This window comes from Homo sapiens, chromosome 7, assembly GCF_000001405.40.
Source record: "Homo sapiens chromosome 7, GRCh38.p14 Primary Assembly".
Lineage (NCBI taxonomy): Eukaryota > Metazoa > Chordata > Mammalia > Primates > Hominidae > Homo > Homo sapiens.
In genome coordinates this window covers 154,180,430-154,201,812 of record NC_000007.14, presented here as the reverse complement: position 1 = coordinate 154,201,812, position 21,383 = coordinate 154,180,430, and the positions used below count along the sequence as shown (strand labels likewise).

Here is a 21,383-nt window from a genome sequence, read left to right as displayed (position 1 = left end):
TTGAGAAACTCTTTTCAATGGTATGCAGACCCACTGATGTGGTTACACTTTCCTTTCAATAGAACCATGACACACGGATCACGGATTTACTAACTGCTATTCTTGGAGTCCCTGTTTCCTATGGATCTATCTGCAGCTGTACCTTACACATACACTAGAGGGTACAGAAATGACTCATTCACTGCACGTAGCCAACCTCCACAGTCCGGCGTGGGACCTGCTGCCCCAATACTTTCTTATTTAGGAGTGAAGGGTTTTCAGAATCTGGAATTTAAATGTGGATGAGGCCCTAATTGGAATGAATGTTTTAGGTAGGCATAAGCCTTAACCCACTTTTAACAATCTTCAATTGCCTAGAAAAATTCACTTTTACAGGACAATCCTGGTCAGGCGTGGTGGCTCACATCTGTAATCCCAGCACTTTGGGAGGCCAAGGTGGGTGGATCACCTGAGGTCAGGAGTTCAAGACTAGCTTGGCCAACATGGTGAAACCCTGTCTCTACTACAAATACAAAAAATTAGCTGGGCATGGTGGCAGGTGCCTGTAATCCCAGCTACTCGGCAGGCTGAGGCAGGAAAATTTCTTGAATCCAGGAGGCGGAGGTTGCAGTTAGCCGAGATCGCACCACTGCATTCCAGCCTGGGGGACAGGAGGGAAACTCCATCTCAAAAAAAAACAACAACAAAAAAAGGCAATCCTTTCCCCACCACCCACAACTATAATGCAAGTTTGTATCTCTGCTGTTGATTAGGAAACTTGACCACGTCAGAATATTCAGCGAGACAAGTTCCACCGTGCCCTCTGCTTCCTGCATTAATCTCAAAGGGATGTCATTTTGATGGGGAAGAGAAGCCCACAATTTTTTTTTTTAAAGGAAACCAATTCTAAGAAGATTCTATACTAATCTTATATTGAGGACCATCAGAAGAGATTAGGAAGTTTTGCTTTCTTGGACAGCATTTGTTCAATTAATACAGAGCTTCACAGCTGGTGTCCAGGCGGGGCTAACTTTCTAGGTGTTAGACACTTTGCTACCTTGCATTTCCGTATTCTAAAATAATAGTACTGCTTTGGTTTTCTTTTAATCATTCACTATTCTTCCAAAGAAAACTCAAGAGAAAAAAGTACAATATTTACAACCTAATTCAGGAGCACTAAGGCATTCTTCAGAGTCCTCACGAGACAGAAATCATGAGGTCACAGCTGTTTTGACATTTTCTAAGACAAAAATGCCTAAGAATGGCCTGAGTAGTTTTTAGTACTGACCTTTAGCATTTGTGTTAGCAAATGCCCCTCAAACCTTTTCCCCAGCGGCTCAGTGTTTATTAAAGACTCAGGTCTCCTCCAATCTCCACCCGGCGGTTCTCACCCTCAGCTGCACACTAGCGTTCGATAGATCAGCAGGGTGGCTGCAGCATACACTCATCTACTGTGCATTTCAAAATAGCGAGAAGGGAATCATTTGAATGTTCCTAGCATAAAGACAAATATTTAAGGTAATGAAGATCCTAAGTACTCTGATTTGCTCTTTACAAATTATATGAATGTACTTAATTATCACATGTACCCCAAAACTATATGCATTGATTATGCATCAATAAAAAATTGTTTAAAAAAAAAGGAGCCAGGAAAGAAAAAGCCTTCCAAAGCCAAGCTACACCCTGGACTGATTAAATAAGAATCTATGGTATGTGACTGATGACCGATGTATGTGTTCCGTGTTTGATTTTGAATTGGTATTATTATTTCTTTCTTTCTTAAAAGCTCCGAGTAATTCCATTGTGCAGCTGGGGTTGAGGAGACTGCTAAGCCCAGCAGCCTGTGAGTCCAGGCATTACGGGCGGGGCTCTGCACTGACAATCAGGAGATTTTTTTGTTGTTATTTGTTTTAAAGTAGCTGAGAAAGCAGGGCATGGTGGCTCACGCCTGTAATCCCAGCACTTTGGGAGGCTGAGGCAGGCGGATCACTTGAGGTCAGGAGTTAGACACTAGCCTGACCAACATGGCGAAAACCTGTCTCTACTAAAAGCACAAAAAAGCTGGGCATGGTGGTGTGTGCCTGTAATCTCAGCTACTCAGAAGGCTGAGGCAGGAGAATCACTTGAACCCAGGAGGCGGACCTTGCAGTGAGCCAGGATCACACCACTGCACTCTAGCCTTGGTGACTGAGCAAGACTCCATCTCAAAAAAAAAGAAAAAAAAAAAAGTGGCTGAGAGTATAGATGCCATGAGGTTAATTTTTATTATAAACTCAGTGCTAGGCTTCTATGCAAATTCTTCATGAATATCTAAAGGACGGGCAAATAAATGAACAAAATGTGTACTTCTAACTCAGCTACCAATTAAGTTTGCCCAAAGTCCCTTAAGCAAATCAATTATTCATCTAAAAAAATGACTCCTACCTAGTTACTAGGGAATAGTGGAAACCAGGTGAGGCAATGTAGAAAGGAAAAGAACCCGGATGAAACAGCATCAATATTAACGTGCATTTTAGGAGCAGCGCCTACTGAAAATGGATGAGTGACAACATGAGGAGCAGGGACGCTTAGGATAACCCACACCTATCTCCGTACAGCCTTTGGGGCTGAATAGCCTGCAAACAGCCCACAAGCCTTCTCCAAATGTTGGTGGGCATTTGAAACTCCTGACGACTTGCAATTAGGGGAGAAGGAAATAAAAGGGAACGTGAGGACTTGACTCAGGGGCCAGGGCTCCAAGCAGCCTCGAGGAACCCCAGCTGCTGTCTCCTGCCAGGTGTCCCCACATTTGGGCAAATCCACCAAAAAAAAAAAACCCTAGTAAACCAATAGCCCAGGTGAAGGATTTGGGAGGACCATAACGATGATCAACAGAAACTGTGATTGTGTTCATGGGCTATAGCAGGGAAAGCCAGGAAAAGGGGCTGTGGGTTCAGATGGACTGGAAACTAACACAGCCGGGTTTTACCAACTCAACCCACCCTCGTCAGGCCCTCATCCAAGGCCAAGAGTCATTCCTAAGATGAGAGACTGAAGGTCAATTTACAAAACAGAGGAGAGAGGCTCTGAATCCTCTGATATCCACATGCACATATGTTTGTATAACAATGGTTAATCCAGTTGAAATCTGTAACCTTCTAGGTGTATCATGACCTTCATTATCTAACCAGAGTTGCATAATGCTTAGACTACTGGAATAAATTTAAAATATGTGAAGTGAGGCCGGGTGCAGTGGCTCACGCCTGTAATCCCAGCACTTTGGGTGGCCGAGGCGGGCAGATCATTTGAAGTCAGGAGTTCAAGACCAGCCTGGCCAACATGGTGAAACTCCATCTCTACTAAGAATACAAAAAAATGAGCCAGGTGTGGTGGCACACACCTGCAATTCCAGCTACTTGGGAGGCTGAGGCACGAGAATCACTTGAACCCAGGAGGTGGAGGTTGCAGTGAGTAGAGATCACGCCACTGCACTCCAGCCTGGGCGACAGAGTGAGACCCTATCTCAAAAAAAAAATAATAATAAAATATGTGAAGTGAAAATTACACTGAGGGCCCCTTTGTCCAGTCTCTCACCCTCTGTAGTAGTAAGACAGAATGGGCGAAGGGTGACTAAGCCTCAAGGCAACCCTGTCTATGTACCTGGAAAAGGAAAGAGCTCAAGTAGGAAAATAATGCACTATCTACACATCAAGCAGGATCCATATGACACAGGGCCCCGTGCTCCAGGATGATCGTAAGTTTGCACATCTACAGCCATCTGGGCCATACTCCAAGACCTCAGTGGGAGCACTGAATGGATGGGAAACCCCAAAATGGTTCTGCTCCCTGCCCAGATGACAATGATGTCATCAAAGAGAGTGATTCCCAGCAGCTGCTGTGGGAGGGAGGCCCTTTCCTGGGTGGGCCGCTCCTGCTGGAATGAAATTCTAGGTCTTCCAGGTGGACCAGTTAGGTTTTCTGCTCTTCTCCTTCCCAACGGTCTGGGCTCCTAGGTGGATGCTGTTAGGATCAGGTGGGTTAGGATATGAACTGCAAAGCAACGACATTCTAAATTAACTACTTAGTGACATAATCTATATTAATTGAACATTATTGATTCTTATTAAGAACAAATGAGCATCTTGGCAAGGAAATATTGATATGTCAATACTACCTTATTGCCAATAGATAAAGCTGACTGAGTTGGGTCACTGGGCACCACCTACAACTGTCCTTTGTTATGACAGTCAAGAGTGGAAAGTGGAGAACAGATGAATTTCAGGGAAGGCGCTGGATGTTCTTCCAAGCTGGACTACCTCTTGTTTGCAAAAGCGAAATCAGGAACACTCTCTGATGACCGGGTGTTCCGAGGGAAGGTCTTCTACCTGAATATTTGTGAGGAGGTGGAAGTCATCTCTTTAGTGTCTGCATCGACGTATGGTATCAGTGCACCAAGCTAGGGCAAGGGTGGGGATCTAGTTAGGGAGAAGGAGCACAGAGCACACAGAGGCACAGGAATGCTTCTTGTCCACAAGGAAGCTAGAGTCTGGTATTCCCCATGGATTCTCTTATTTCTCTGAATAAATCATCACTCTCTGTATTTAGAGCTTTACATATCTTCTGCTTGACCTTCATTAAACTTTCCCCACACCCAAGTTCACTGCTATCACAATATCAATGAATAAAGATTGCAATTCACCAGGCTGTGCCGTGGGTGGCAGAAATATACACCATCTAATTATACCATCAAACTCAATACACAAAGCAGTATCTGGTTAGATGTTCAGTGGGCAGTGAGGCTGGAAATTCAGAAAGGGAGACTTTATGGGGAGAAGAGACTCAGAGCCCCAAAACATAGAAACTTGGAGATTAAAGAGGAGAAGGGAGATTTTACTGGAATCTGAGAGCATTTCAGGGTGCAAAGTCATGGAGGTAGGAACACATACGCTTATTAGGGGGTAGAGATGAATTTTAATTAAGGAGAGTATCCCATGGGGAAGAGTCAATTAAGTGGAAACGGGATAGGGCCAGCTTCTGTTAGAGGATGTATAAAGCCAGCCTGGGGAGCTTGGCCTCGGTCCTGAAAGGGTGAAGGCTCCCTGCAGCTTTCTGAGCAGGGCTGAGGGATGATGACATCGATGTTTTCAGGTTAATCTAAGTCAAATGCCTTTGGGGCAACTGGCTCATGGCCAGGGAGCCCAGGTGGTCCTTGGAAGGAGGCAGTGCAATGCTCCCCATGGCTGAAGGTCATCATCCTTTTCATAAAAACTCCATGAAAGTAGGATGAGTATGAATAACACAGAAATTCACTGAATTCATTTACTCATTCACTAAATGAACATTTGTGAGTTTTGTTTTGTTTTTTGAGACAGAGTCTTGCTCTGTCACCCAGGCTGGAGTGCAGCGGCACAATCTCAGCTCACTGCAACCTCCACCTCCTGGGTTCAAGGGATTCTTCTGCTGCAGCCTCCTGAATAGCTTGGATTACAGGTGTGAACCAACGTGCCCAGCTAATTTTTGTATTTTTAGTAGAGACAGGGTTTCACCATGTTGGCCAGGCTGGTCTCCAACTCCTGACCTCAAGTGATCCACTCGCCTCTGCCTCCCAAAGTGCTGGGATTACAGGCATGAGCCACCGTGCCCGGCCCATTTGTAAGTTCTTACTCCAAGCAAGATTACATTCCAGCTGTAGCAGATCTAACAGCAAACAGGCCTCCATCCATCACAGCTCTGTGGGGAAACACAGAACAGAGAGGAGAGGAGGAACAGTTATTCTATCCGATGGAGCGAAAATGATATTTAGAGACAGAAACTGATCTGGTGGCACAAAGTAAGAGGGGCTAATACCAACAGGAGTACATGAGGTGTTTTCAGAGAGGGTCTTGAAAAGGGAGAAGGTGTTTGCCAAACCGAAAAAGGGAAAAGCCACATCCCTCACACAAGGCATGTAAGAACGAGGCACAGGTGGAAAGCAGGGCTGAGCACAGGGTCCTGCTGGAAGATGGCAGGGAGTGCAAGGACACACTGCTGTCCTCTAGAACTCTGAAGAAGAAGGACCTACCTGAGGTTCCTAGGAAATTTTCAAAGGAGTGGCATAACAGAATTTTTTGGAAATATCACCTAACACCAACGTGGACAATGAATTTGGGTGAATTTGGGTTAGTAGAGGCAGGGAAATCATCTCAACTGTAATTATTTGGCACCTGGATGGAGGTCATGTGGTCCCTCCTCAGGTGTCTAGTGCCATCTTCCTCCACATTTTGTGGTACTTCCCCATAGACTTCCTGGAGTCATCCCATCAGTGCCACAGAAGAGCATCCGTGAATGCAGCCTGATGCGGTTTACCCAACAGGCTGCCGGCCAATGGCAGTTTCCATTCTTACCCAACAGGCTGCCGGCCAATGGCAGTTTCCATTCTTACCCAACAGGCTGCCAGCCAACGGCAGTTTCCATTCTTACCCAACAGGCTGCCAGCCAATGGCAGTTTCCATTTTCCTCCAGGTGGGCTCCTGGAGCGGCCCTTGTAACCGTCCATTCCTAATGCAGGTTGGAAGTGTGGCTTTGCAAGTCATTTATATCACATGTGCTATAATTTGTTACTGCCATATTTCAAGGAGGAAGGATCGTCTTTTCGAGAAATGGTATTGGAATGACTAGATAGCCATATGCAGAAAAAATGAACTTCAACCCGTACTTCATACAATATACAATTATCTCAAAATGAACCACAGACCTAAATGTTAAAACTTCTAGAAAAAAAAGATAGAAGAGAACCTTGTGACCCTCTCTACTAGGCAGAGATTTCCTAGGCAGTCACCAAAAGCATAATCTATAAGAGAACCAACTGGCAAACTGGACGTCATCAAAATGAGGAATTTTATTTTCTAATGATACTGTTAAGAGAATGAAAGAAAAGAAGAGCTAGAGTGAGAGAAAATATTTGCCAACGATATATTTGTCAAAGGAATTGTATCCAGAATATATTTCTTGAAACTCTCAAAATTAAATGGTAACAAAATAAAACAAGACAAAATCCAATTATACAACTGACAATGGATTTGACCAGGTATTTTACCAAAGAAGACAGAGGAGAGACGAATAAGTCCACGAAAAACTTTTCAACAACATTTCTCACTAGGCAAGTGCGAACGAAACCACAATGAGATATTGCTATACGCCTATTGGAAGGGATAAAGAAGGAAGTCTGACAACGAAAGAATTCATCCTATATGGTTCCATTTATGTATCGTTCTAGGAAATGCACACAAACATTCCATGGCAGAAAGGGCATCTCTGGCTGCCTGGGAGGAGCGAGGTGAGGTGTCACAGAGGGCGTGGAGGAAACTCTCAGGAGAGACACACACATTCAGCATCTTGATTGAGGGGTGAGTTTCTGGATGTATACATACACCAAAGCTTATTAATGTGTGCACTTTAAAATATGTGCAATTTGTTGTATGCCATTAATATCTCAATAAAACTGTTCAAAAAGAGAAAAAAATATGCATCTGATTCATTACCAATTCATCTTGATTTTTATGATAATTCCCTTCTATTTCACCCCCTGGTTATATTTTCTTTCTGACATCTAGATTTTTGTGTCTCTTTGCCTTGCACCTGCAAACACCCATAAGCTGCCCTTACCATAGGAAGTGTGTTGCTTTTTCAAGCTATACCAACAGTGACGGCACCTGGAAATGGGACGGGTTTCACAGTGACAAACACTTAAGGAAAAATAAGAATTTTGTCAAAGTAAGGAATACCTTGGGGCTATAGGCAGTTTTTCTCTGAAGTTTAACAGCTTCTCTGACGAGTCACCCATTTTCCTAGACTTCATCAGAGCTAATTAAAATTGGGCACGATATGTTCCTTTAGGAAAAGAGTTGCTATTTTGCCTATATTACACCAATTGCACTTCAATTCAAAAAGGCCTGCTTCTGTTTTTCCCTTGAGACCAGCGCACACCCCTCTGTGGTGAGCGCATCCCAGGGTGTGCAAGGATGCTGGGATTCTCACAACCTGCTTAGCCGGGAGGAGTACATACTTTTGCTTTCTTCCTATTTCCATACTGGTGCTTGAACTTGATAATGCTACTAAAGTGAGGAATCTCTTTCCCCATCCTTCACAGGTGGTCTACCTGTCACCCAGGCTTCCAAACACAAGTAGACATCACATATGTGAGCCCACCATGAGAAGAGGAGCACTCTAAGCCCCCATGCCCCTGCCTCACATGCACTCCAAACATGCTGCCATTCTCTGCAGACCTCTCACCTGCAGGTGCTGCTCTGGCCCTGCGGTCCTGAGACTCAGCCTCCCAGTCTGCCCCTCCATTCAACCTGCTTATTCGTATCCCTGCAACCAAATTTCTCTCCTTATTAAAATGTAATCCATCATTCCAGGCTTCCATAAAAACTGTGCCCCTCTATTTACTCTTTGCCCAAATGGGGCTCTAACAGATATCCCACTCTTGCTTCCTCAAAAATATGAGTATAAGATCATCTGACAGATATCTAGAGAAGGGTGTGAAAATAGGAATCTATCTACTACACACGAGAATGCTGTTTTTTCCTATCACTTCCAAGATGTCTTGTACAGGTCTGCACGCACAGGTAATGCTCACTAACAGATCCCAAAGAAAATCTAAAAGTCTAATGTACTTTTTATTTATAGCAAAATCACTCTGATGTTTTCAATCTGGTGTTGACATTTGCATGTAAATAGCCATGAACCAGGACTGCTGGAACTGAGAGAGATAGTTTGTTGGCTCTTCCATGGCAATAGCAAGTGAAAAGGCCCAAGAACCTCAGGCTTTGCTTACCTAAGTCTACATGTATACAGGAAGCATTAACTCCACATGTTATTTACTGAGCCTTCTGAACAGCACATGCCTTAATTTCCATGTTTACTATTTCAAATGATGCATGAGCATCAGCTCACTAGCTCTGGACTTCCGTACAACAGGGACATGTTCCACCTGGCCTGGGGTCTTCTCTGGCCTCACTGACGGCCACCCTCATGCCAACTCCCCGCCACCTGCTTCAAACACCTGCTTTACTAGCTGGAGTAAAATAATTCCTGTTTGCACGAGATTCTATAAAATTCCGTATTTCTATTCCACAGACCACACTGTTTTCTTCACTTAGAATTCATTTGACCCATATGGGGATTTTTAAAATTCATTTATAAAAGCATCTAATTGAAATATCTCCTTCTTGTGGCCTTCCTCAAGCTTCTGCCTTCTGGGCAAAAGTAAGTGTTCTGTTTGGATATTTCAAGAGTACTTTATCCCTGTCTTAATCTGGCAATTCTCACACCTTACTATGGTTTCTTTCACGAATTCCCTATGCCTGGCTTTAAGTTCAGTGGAGGCCTTCTTATTAAGGCCTCTGCCCTAATTGCCTCTGCAGTGCTGGTGCAATACCTGGAACCAAGAGGCAGTGAAGGAACTGGAAGGTCTACCAGATTAACTAGTGACTAGGTGTTAGCTAATTGTAGTAGGGATCACATTTGTGGGATTTGGAGGATGGGAGAAGTTATTTGTAGGTGGCTTTATCAAGTAGAAAATATGTATTTTCATGAGGAATCAGTGATGCTATCAAGACGTTGTACAATTGGGAAAAAATGGAAATTCAATGGGAAAACGAAATTTAATGATAACTGCCTGCTCAGTCGGAGACCTTGTTTCATCTTAAAATCTTTGCCAAGACAAGGCATCTTGAACTAAAAGGTGCCTTTAAATCAGTCTTCACCTCACTTTCATCACTCGTGCAGCTAAAACAGGAAAATACTCAAGCATTAAGAGACAGAAATCCACCAGCACTTGTCCCCTGAAAGCCTTAGGTTAAATGTTTGTCTTGTGTGTGGTTTTTTTTCTCCTGCCTCTTTTTCTTAGTCGATAAATTATAGAGTGGAAACACTCTACTTTCTTAGTCAAAGAGCAATCTTAAATTCAAAGGAGAATAACAAACAATGCATATGTAATGTCTATGTACAGTGGCTAATAGCCAGAACTACCTGAAGTTCATGTCCCTAAAGAAGGCCAGGTAAGAACAGAAACAACATGGGAAAGAATCTTTTCCTGATTCCCTGATGCTTTCAGGGAATATAAATGTTAATATCAGTAATGAGGCAGCCTGGTTAGAAACAGACTCGACGCATTCCTAACTGATTCAGGGTTCACCCATAAATGCTAATGTAGGTATTTATTGAACATAAGCTAGCTTCATTCATTCATTCAATCAATCTTCTACCCATTCCTCATTCAATAGCTATGCACTGAGCACACACATCCTTGGCCTAGATGCTTCAGCTAAAGGGTAAATGCAGGCTGGTCTGCACAGAGGGAAAAGGGAAACCAACATTTTTTTCAGAAGTGACAGGCCTTGTGTGCGCACATTGCACTTATGATCTCATTTATTTCTCACAAAATTTTAACAGGTTAAGTAATCTTATCACTATTTTATAAATAAGGCAACAGAGACAGGGTGATTAAAGAACTACTCAAGATACCTTAATAAGTCTATCTGCCTACAAAAGAAGTGTTCTCTACATATTCAATGTCAATGATTAGCAGTCTTCTTTCCATTAAGATGCCCGTGACCATGTAATCGTTTATAAATCTTACAAGTATGTTTGTATTTCACATACACAAGCCCTGCCAGTCAGTGACTTGGCTCAGGCAACGTTTGCAGAAAATGGCATCAGCAGTCAGAGCATAGGATCTCAACCTCGCAAATTACTCCCCTAACAATAAGCTATCAACAGACCCCTGATTCACAAAGTTGTTCACTGACTTTCTCTGCAATCAATAGCAGTTGCTCTTTTATTATTGGCTATTAAGCAAATAATAGCCAATCTGAGAATTTATTTATATTTCATGAATTAACTTTTCCTTTTATAAAATAAAAAGAAAATAAATATTTTCTTTGAAAACAGCTGATAATGGAAATTTTCTAGGTTCCTACAAGAGCACATGGCAAAGCAAGCTTCTAAAATATTTTGTTGGCTAGGAGTAGTTATTTGAAGGGCCATCCTATGAAAAACCTATTCAATGCCCTTTTTGCTTTAAGAAGTAACAGCTCTTGCCAGAATACCAGGTGAATTCATGGGCTTTTCAGGCTTTTGGAAAAAAAATGGACTCTATTTATCCTAGTTCTCTCCTCCTAGCTCAGAAAGACCCATCCATCTGCGTAATCAATAGCAAGCTCCAAGAATCTGTTCTGGTTCACTAGGGGAAAGGGAAAAAAATCTTTAAAGAAAAACCAACACTGCAGCTGAGTTCCTGAACATATTTGCAGAAAAAAATTACATAATATGAATTAAATCATATACTTAAGTACCTTTTAACTGACAGACTTGCCTGCTTATTATTCCAAGATTGAGATATGATTTTTCAAAAATACATTGCAGCCCAGGAACCCATCACCTTTTGAGAAGGAAGAGCTACTAGATACTTCTCTCAAATCTTGACATTACTAGAGGGGCTGGTGGTGTTATATAAACGCTCTCTTTTCCTCCCCTGGGTATTCTAGCCAACCTCACCTGGAAGACTAGGGAAAGATGCAATGATCAAACTCACCTGGAGACCTCCCCGGGGCAGCATCAGGGTTTCCTGGCAGCGCCATTCCATCAGACAGCACCTGCTCTAGCCAATGTTAGTCATGCACCTAGTATATCAGTGAAAGCCCAAGTTATATTGATTTTGCAAATTCTGGAAAGAGGAGGCCTCTCTTGCCTTCAATTCTTTATCCCTCCATATCAATCAGATATGCATTGGAGCTTTACAATCATAAAATATTTATTAACTTCCAGCTTTTAATGTTCATGAATAAAGAGCCAAATTAATAATTTTTGACTGTTGGTTAAAAAGAAACTAAGAACGTTCTCTAAAAGGACGGTATTTAAGGCCAAAGAAGAAGCCATGGGTGGTGTTACTGGCCATCAAAATGACTCATTGTAAAATGTTGTTGGTTATTTGAATCATAAAGCTTTGAGAAATTAAATTGTTTGACTGCATCACATTTTGTTTCTTTGTTTTCCTCCCAGAGCTGAAAGCAGTTGATCTGGTTTGTGTGGAAAGATATACACTGAAACACAAGCCAGACCACAAAGAGAGATTCAAATACAAAGATAGCCTCGCTGGTCTCAACCCCAGAGACACGGCATGAGAGGGAAGGGAGAACTGGCTAATGAGAATCTACGCAATGACACCATTTACTCCATTAAGAGTCTAAGAGGTAGTATTTTTTCTTTTTCCAAATGTACCACTGCAACCCCATGACCTCTCCCACATCACACAGAGCTACTTCATAGAGACTGAGTTGGCGGAACAAACATCTTACTAAGTGGTGCACTCAGTCTCCCATGACAGTTATCAGCCACCTTGGACACCACTAACTGAACATCTACTATGTGCTAGTTATTTTAATAGCTGCTGTATAAACAGTATTAATATTAAATTTAATCTTCACCCCCAAACACTACGTAGGGGTATTACCAGCTTCATCTTAAATTGGAGGAAATCTGATTCAGGCAGGTTGAAATTTGCCTAAGCAAACATAGCTAGGTTGTGGAAAGATACAAATTCAAATTCTGATTTGTAGCACTGTTGATGCTTCTTCTACTAAACTATCCTGGTTGGTTGGTTGTGTGGTTAGTCCCTTGGGGAAAAAGGTATCACGATCTCATCTTACCTCCTCTTTGGATTAGCAATTTTAAAATAGCCTTCCCTACTTCCTAACAACCTGCAGAAAATGGTTTCAGGGAGACCCACAGAACGCAAGAAGGAGACCTATAGACAACTAGTCTTACCTGGTCAGAGCTGCAAAGAACACAAACACCCAGGCTATTGTTTCTCTCCCTGGTCGGAAGAAGTCTTGGATAAGGATAGGTTCTGACACAAATCTGGGACACGGAGGCTCAATAATTCTAATACACAAGCTGCCTCCAGATGCTTAAGGATAGAATAAGAGGTTCACAAGTAGTTAACAGTGGTTTTCACCTTTGTGTCATGACTGATGAAGTATCCTATTGTATTTTGTTCTTTTATCGAAATATGTAAATATAGGTTTGCATATTTAAGTACATAGAGGCTTGTTGCACATCAGTGTAAACACTTCGCAATACCAGAGTCTGTGTGTGTACAGGTGTGGGGTTGTGTGGGTTTATTAGATACCTTTGTGTTTCAAAGAAATATGTATGGAAAGCATAATGAAAAGCTCACTCGCAAAACTCAACTACCTTAACTGGGCAAATGACAGGGTTAGGGGTCCTCCTTCCAGTTTTGAATTCATTAGCCAAGTTTCTGAGACTAGAAAACTGCATAGCTAAGCAATATCAGACTTAGAGACCCCCACATTACACAGTTACTATTTGTCTCTCACCCCCACTAGATTGTAATTTGTCCCTCACCCCTACTAGATTGTAAATTAATTTAAGATAAGGACTATGTCTTATTAAGATAAGGACTGTGTCTTATTAATCTTTGTATACCTAAAATCTGATTAGACCTCGGTGTAGCCAAGACAAATATATTTGGGGGGGAAAGTATTTTTTTCACTTGTTTCATCCCCTTGAAAGTAGAGTTCACTGCTCTTAAGAATAAAAATATCCCATTTAATTCAGTGGTTCCCGAATGCCTTGTCCACACCAAGTACACTCACAGTCTCTAGCTTGGGAAGTCACTGTGGGGTGTTCATGGCCTTTGGATCTGCTGAGGTGCTGCCTTCCACTCCCGGTCTTTACGCGTGACCAGAAGAGTCAAGAGAACCACCGTGACCACAAGACGATCTGCATCGTGCTCTGACATTGAGAAAGAGCCATTAGCATCTTCAGGTACGGAATGTTGGAGCCAGAAGAGACCTTCAGACGGTTCTACTGTTCTCAACTTTAGATAGATGCCCATTAGAATGACCTGGTGAGCTTTATTGAGCATGTATTGATATCCCGGGCCTCATCCATTGTGTCTCTGACTTAATTAGAGTGGGTTAGAGTCTCGGCATCAGAAGTTTTTTTTTTAAAGCTTTCTAGGAGATAATAATGTACTACTGACATGCAGAATCATGCTGATTTCATCTACACCCTCTTCCCCAATTTTACAGGTGAGAAAAACTGAAGCTTAGGGAGGAGAAGTGACCACTTTGGGCAAAACCATAGGAAAGATAGGATTAAACCAGGATTTCTTACATCCTGTTCATTGCTCGGTTCTATCACACTGCCCTTCGTGATTGTGGCTACTCTTAAATATTCAAACTTGGGTTGTTTCATGTCATTGTAACTAACAGTAGAGAGTATATAGGAAAGCAAACCTATTTTTCTTGCTGTTGTAAATTTAAAGGAGCTCTTCCAGTGCACAGATTTCTGTGGGCTAACATTTGTGGAATTAAATGGCTTTATACAGTATCCAATAACCAGATTTACAGATTTTTCTAGTGAAATCAAATAGTCATTTGGCTCTCGTGCACATTCAGTCTAAACAGCAAAGCCACTTAAAACAGTGATTCCAATACTCTTCACTTTCCAGCCACAGCAAGTAGAATGGTCTTGGGTTTGTTTAAACAACTGTGCTCTTATTCCCACTTGCTACCAATAAAAATATATAAATAAATAGAGACTACCAAAACCATGAGAAGACTCTCACTGTTTTTTAAAGAGAACAAATTAGTGGTATAATAATGTTCCATTTCATACGAGTACCCAAAGTCCAGTTCTTGAAATTCTATGCTTACCATCTTCAAAGCCACCCTGGCTGCAGATCATTAGAGGTGCTTCCTTCAAAGTCAGCCTGAACACACACAGGCTTTTTCACCAGACTGAGTCATGGCACTGCCAGGAGCTCCCTCCAGCCCAGACTCCAAACGGGAACTGGCTCAGGAAGGAGGACAGCCTGGAGGAAGCCCAGTCAGCCTTCAGCTGTGGCTGTTTGAATGCAATGCCGCATAGCCACTCCTCCATTAAGAGGCTTTTAAATCCTTCCTCTGAAACTGTTTTCTAATCTACTTCTGATTTTTTAAAAAATTATTAATAATAGCCTGGAGTTACTAGCATCAAACTACCATTAAAAACAGAATGAATAATTCAGAATTGAGACAACCGAGTAATTATATCACCCATTTAAATTTCCTAAATAATTAAGGAATTCTTTGGAGTATTGAGTATTTGCTTCATCATCTGGACTGTGTTGGTGACAAGTGAAACCCTGGGTGTCTGCTCATATCCACCGGAGTCCTCCTCTGAGTACTCAGGCCATGCCTGTGTGCTACTAGCTTGGGACCCCAAGTCAGTTGCCTCTGTGCACTTGTGTGCATTGTGCGTCTGCAGGAACATCTCTCAGAGGATGCCAAGGGGCCCCTGGGGCCTCCCTTCCAAATACAACTGAGGGAGTGTCCATCTGAAACTTTGAGGTGTTGTATGCAATACATTTTCAGATCATTCGGAGATGTCAGTGGCTAAAATAAGGTTTCATCTGTGAAAGAGAAAATAAAAACTAGTCTTTTGTTCATCACCATATCTACAAGTGACTCTGATCCATCACAACTGATGTCATTAAGGAAGAGCTTTTTAGAGTCCAGAGCCAGACCCAAGTATGATTTCAACAAGACATTGTCAGAGTCCTCTAACATCTAGAAAATGTGACACTCAACACATTTAATCAGATGTTCCCAGTCCTATCTACACAGATATTTGGTGAAAATGATCTACTGTTTTCCATGCTGTTCGGATGAAATCTCAGAGCTGGGAGGAACCACTCACTTCACTGATGGGTAATACAGGGCACTAAGCAACTTGCACAAAACCAAGAGGCTAATCCCAAACCCAAATATGGCTGGTTTTCCCAATGCAGCCTAGAGTTGTGCATGCGTCATATGGTTCTTCTGCAGAGTTCCATCATTTCAATGTTTTTAATATCTTCTTGCTTACTCAGAAGAAATACCCGCTTATATACTATACACATGCTTTAATTTGGAAAGGCATTATTTTGGTTCTACCCAGTGAATGCAGAACCTTGCTTAAGAAGTAATTTCAAAATTACTAGCATACTCATATTATCTCATCTTTAAAAGCCTAAAAGAGTAGATATGGGGATTCCAGAAGTAATTGACAAAGAATATCTGTAACCCCAGGCTTTTCTCAAATGACTTAGAGCAACAGAGAGAAAGAAAAGCTGTCGATCTATTGTCAGAAATCTATTAGATGCGCTCACTGCTTGCTGTTTATTCATCTACTAAAGTGATTTCTAACGATCAGGATGACAATCCTAGCATTGAAAGAAAACCATAGAATCATAAAATGTTCAACCAAGATGGAAACCTACCCATCACGTTATTCCAGCCCTGCATTACAAGTGTGAGGGATCACTGAACATCGGCTTCAGGATCATCCATTCCTTTCTAGACCCTAAGCACTGATGGAACGGACTCTGATATTGATACCCAGCGTGGACATTTACCATCTCCCTGAATCCCAAGTAGAATAACTATTCAGGAAAGAATTCTTTACTTGTTGCACAGAGCCTAGCTTCTGACAACTGAAAAAAAAGCAATGAATTCCCAAGAGGTTTTACTATTCTGTGAATCCAGGCAAAAATTGAAATCCCAGAAGCTGTCTGCCATTAGGCTAGCTTGGTGCTGATCTTCTCATTACACAGGATTATGTTAATAGCCTACAATGCATACCATACATTTGAATGCTTTGTGATTACAATTGCCTTAGTACATTCTAATGCTTTAACAGTACAATGCAAAGACTGAGATTTTCTTTTGTCCTTCTAGTTAGATAGGGCTTCTGAGAGACTAGAGAGTCTGAAGGAAAACATATATACACATATTTTCAGAATTCTATCTATTAGCCATCACATTCAAGACTTAAATCGGCTCCCAGAGGCTAAGATCAGACTATGCTGGTTGATGCATGAGTGGTCATAAATATGGCTAACCATCGCACCGTGGCTCAGATGCTAAACTGCCTTTCCCAGAAAACTTTTGCTCTGAGTAAACACCCAACACAGAGCTGGCTGCTGATTGCTTCTGCTGCAGATCAGTTAAAATTAGATTCCCAACATTTAGTAAGGCATCAAACAGGCACGACTGAACCTCCCCGCAGAAATTTTGTAAGATAATGTGTGTATCTCTCAGCATATCTCAGACTGCAGGTCAGCTACTTTTTTTTTTTTTTCCAGAAATTAAACTTTTTCTTTTTGTTCAGTAAGTTGATTTGTATCCTTTTACTCACCCTCCAAAATTGCTTTAATCTGTTCACTCCGGGCACTTTGGAAGCATTCATACCTGCCGGTCGGAGGTCGGAGGTGTGTGCCCCTTGCAGCTGCTAGGACGTCTGTGGGACTCACACAGACCAGTGTCGGAAGCAACGTGATGCCCAGGGATTCTTGCAGCAGACACTCCCTGGCTTTTACGCTGCTTACCAACAACCACAGACTTCACCGTGCAGCACAGAGTAACCAATGGCTGAACACGACATTCTCGGCCTCTGGGAATCAGAGGGGAGTGGAGAGGACCCCCTGCCAGCGGATCCCCCTGACCTACTCAGCCTCCCAGGGGAAAAATGGGTGTTTTCCAAATGGTTCTACATTCTTTTTCTTACCTCATATGGGCTTTGCATCCTAGATTAAAGAGCATATCCTGCTCTGAGAAACACAGACACTAACCATTATCTCAACTCAAAATCATTGCCTGATGCTGAGGGTCCTCACTGTGCCTGGGCTGGTCCCTGCTTCTTGGTTGGTCCTGCCCGTCTGCCATGCCCAGGGGCAGGGCTTCCTATCCATGTTTGTGGATAAAGGCTAAATGCTGACCGCTAAGTTTGGCTACTCAGAAAAATAGAGATTTGGCCATTATCCACTTAATCTTATGCTAAGGGAATGGACAGGTATTTCAGAGTGGTTTAGGCAATTAAGAAATAAATCTACAGATGCCTCCGCAAATAGTGCAGGGCCCCTGTCAGAGAAATGCACGATGCAGAGGGAATGACCCACAGTTCTTTACACTCACTTTTGTGACAGTCCCGGTGCTGAGTGATTCATTGGACACATGGTTTTGGAGTCCTGGCTCTAGGGTATGAAAGTGTGAGCCAGGCAGGCACTGACTGCGCCTGTGGGGTTTCTATCCGGTGTTGTGGTGACCTAATTGTCCGTCGTTCTCTCCATGAGGCTGTGGGTTCCTTGAAGGCAGATCTTAGAACCTGATCAGTGCCCAGCAGGGTGTGGGAACCACGCAAGCCTTCAGTCATGGAGGAAGGAAAGGAGGAGGGGAGGAAGGAAGACGCCCTAGTGAATGCTGAGGCTCTCTGCGCAGCATTTTGCATGTCAATCACCACTCCGGAAGAACCACTCCCCGAGGTGATTCTGCCCTTACAGGAATTTGACAGGAGGGACTGGACATATTTAGAGTGTTTAGTTCACATGCAGACCTTTTAAAAAGATCAGGAGCCACAACTAAACAATTACTTCAACTCACCCAGGCACCTTCTGTTTTTCATTGTAATGAATTATAATAATATGCTGTCTTTAAAAGAAGTTCTGATTGTCACTTAGAAGCAGTGAATGAACACTGTTCTTTTGGGATTTTCTTGCTATAGGTTATTTTAGGGCAGTGAAAGTCATGCACTGAAAAGGTGGCTCAGAGGCAAGAGTCGAAACTTGAGAAAAAATCAGCTTCATGAAACCAAAGGGGGCAAGAAAGGAGGAAGAGAAAAGTGATGGAGGCCAAGAGCACTAGCCAGCTGGGGACTCAACAACAGCAAAATCTTAACACAGCTATGAAGAATCCTTATCCGGGAAGTGAATTCTGAAATGGGTGACATTAGCCCCTTAGACAGTCTCATCTCAATCATGAAGAGAAATCCCCCAAAAGAACACCAGCTCTGAATTACAGGAAGGCACTCCAGGGCACAGAGTGGGAAGAGAAGTGAGAAAGGAGGGCTCAGGAAAGGAGAATGAGAACCAAGAACCTATTTCTGGGAGAATATTCAAAGGCCAGGCTGTGAGGGCAAGGGAAAGCAGTGCCTCCTCGGGAATGCGCTGGTCTTCTCCATCCCACAGCAGGTGGTTTTGCATTTTTCTCTTGATGAGGAAGCAGGATGGAGTTGATGGTTAGGGCAATGCACTGGCTCACATATTAATAGCACACCGAGAGACACAGCACAAAGCCTCTTCCTAGTCATGAAGACGGAGGATACTTCACCTCCGGAAAGGCTGCTGGCTTTTCTGTCCAGTGAAAATCATCTCTTGACATCTGTGTGTGAGCAGTGCTGGCTGCCAAACATTTCCAGCCCACCTCCCCCGGGCACATGTTACATTATCCTTCCTGGTTGCTATGGCCAGAAGGAACTGGGTGACCTGTCAACAGGTTCTAGAAGGAAGCAGCATCCCTTTGGCATGAGCAGCTTGAACAGCCCCGACATAAAACCTTCCAGAGCTCTCTTTCCTCTGGCATGGCAACCAGCATGAGGAGGGGGACAGCAGAGCCCCCTGGTAGGTCAGCAATGGGCATGTGGCAAGACTGAGAAATAAACGCTTCTTCTTGGAGCCCTGGAGATCTTGGAGCTGTTACCTAGGCAATCCTGGTGGTTACAATTTGTAGAGTTATGGCCTTAATTTCTGTCCCCCTTAGCAATCCATAATTATTCCAAAATAAATTTACAGGTTTCAGTGTGCAATGGTATTTTGCAATTTCCTAAGTGAGAAGTTCAGCTTGTTCATCCTCCTAAACCCAAGCAGGATCACACATCCACAGCCCAGACTGCCAGCCATGGGGCTCAGTCCTCAAGACCATTAAGAGATGCATTTTCGGCCAGGCACGGTGGCACACACCTGTAATCTCAGCACTTTGGGATGCCAAAGCAGGCAGATCATGAGGTCAGGAGTTCGAGACCAGCCTGATCAACATGGTGAAACCAAACCCCGTCTCTACTAAAAATAAAAAAATTAGCTGGGTGTGGTGGCACATGCTTGTAATCCCAGCTACTCATGAGGCTGAGGCAGGAGAATCACTTGAACAGGGAGGCGGAGGTTTCAGTGAGCCAAGATTGCACCACTGAACCACTCCAGCCTGGGTGACAGAGACTTTGTCTCAAAAAAAAAAAAAAAAAAAGAGGGAGATGCATTTTCATGAGTGCACCACACCTCAAGTGTTTTTAAAATGGCAAAAGAAACAAATTAAACACACACAGAGAGATAAGGGGTCCAAATGAGTGTGTATAAACTAATATTATGCTGCCTTACATATTAAACATATAAAAATGGGCTATACACTTTCTGCCATTGGTAGAAATGAATAGTTTAGGGCTGTGAGCTCAGCTCCTCTCTGGCTGAATGAAGAGGACAGGAGTTTCAGGATCTTTATTTAAGGCCGTCATCAGTTGGCTCTCTCTACAGAGGCATTCACATTGGAGAGGGTCATGTCTTACATAAACCAGCAGAACACTAGGGAATTTCTGACACCAGAGCTGGCTCTTGCAAGGAAGTATGATGGGGCGGTTGGGGAGACTTTTAAGCACCTCTCCCATGATGCCTTGTCACCACTCTCTGGACAGTAGTGTTCCTCTCTTATCTGAAAGACAGTTTCTACGAGTGGAAAACCAAAATAAAGAAATGGTCATAATCTCAGGAGCTTAAAGCTTTACTGGAACTCAGAATCAGCAGTTTTCCAGGGGCATGCTCTTGTGTTTGGGCATTGAAATGCATCAGATCTGTGGGTAGCCTGTTGATCATGTCAATATGGAAACAAAGCAAGTTAATACTCTTAAAGCTCTTCAACTTTCCACTTAAGAGAAGTCGCAAGTTAAGCAACACAGATAGCTACAGGAGTCAGTACTGCTGACAAAATTATTCCAAGCCAGGGGATTGAACTGGCAGGGTTTCTAGTATTTCCTCTTTAAAGAGTCTTGTAAGTAAGACCTATAGGCTAAAGACCAAGAAAAGCTGATTAATATTTAATTGATGGCTGATAAAAATAATGTGAACTTGAATTAATGTGATTTTGAAAAGGTAGGCATGATGGATTTGTAACCCTGGAAACAAACTGTGGAGAAAACTTGCATCACAAGAAACTGTTAATCACTGAAAATATGGGTAAGAACATGGAGGTTTCTGATACTTCTTCCTAGCAAGAATTTTTTTAAAAAAAGATTGTCATTCCTAGAATATCTTTTCCCAAGTCATTTGAAGTTTCATCGCCCACATTAGTAAAAAAACGGGATATTCATGGATCTAAGTGTTTAAGGGAAGGCTTTTGAAATCTTAAAAATAATAATATAAACTCGAATATATATATATATTCTCTCTAAATATATACGTAAACATATATATACTCTCTATATATTTATATATATTTATTTATATATCTATATCTATTTATATAACATTATATAAATATATATCTATATATAATATATAAATGTGTATATATATT

General features: G+C 42.4%; 1 protein-coding gene across 10 annotated transcripts in view, besides 3 other annotated features; it reads right to left on the bottom strand.

Annotated features, from left to right (window-relative positions):
* The window catches only part of DPP6 (dipeptidyl peptidase like 6), a 1,146,153-nt gene that overhangs the window by 692,473 nt on the left and 432,297 nt on the right, over nucleotides 1-21,383 (bottom strand). The gene's annotated exons all lie outside the window — the stretch shown is intronic.
* Nucleotides 2,754-3,323: an enhancer, noted in NCBI's record as "NANOG hESC enhancer chr7:153895575-153896144 (GRCh37/hg19 assembly coordinates)". NCBI's record gives its function as "activates a minimal SCP1, AML or CMV promoter by ChIP-STARR-seq in primed H9 embryonic stem cells {active_cell/tissue: H9 hESC(primed)}" and the evidence as "EXISTENCE:reporter gene assay evidence [ECO:0000049][PMID:30033119]".
* Nucleotides 16,380-17,193: an enhancer, noted in NCBI's record as "NANOG-H3K27ac-H3K4me1 hESC enhancer chr7:153881705-153882518 (GRCh37/hg19 assembly coordinates)". NCBI's record gives its function as "activates a minimal SCP1, AML or CMV promoter by ChIP-STARR-seq in naive H9 embryonic stem cells {active_cell/tissue: H9 hESC(naive)}" and the evidence as "EXISTENCE:reporter gene assay evidence [ECO:0000049][PMID:30033119]".
* Nucleotides 17,194-18,007: an enhancer, noted in NCBI's record as "H3K27ac-H3K4me1 hESC enhancer chr7:153880891-153881704 (GRCh37/hg19 assembly coordinates)". NCBI's record gives its function as "activates a minimal SCP1, AML or CMV promoter by ChIP-STARR-seq in naive H9 embryonic stem cells {active_cell/tissue: H9 hESC(naive)}" and the evidence as "EXISTENCE:reporter gene assay evidence [ECO:0000049][PMID:30033119]".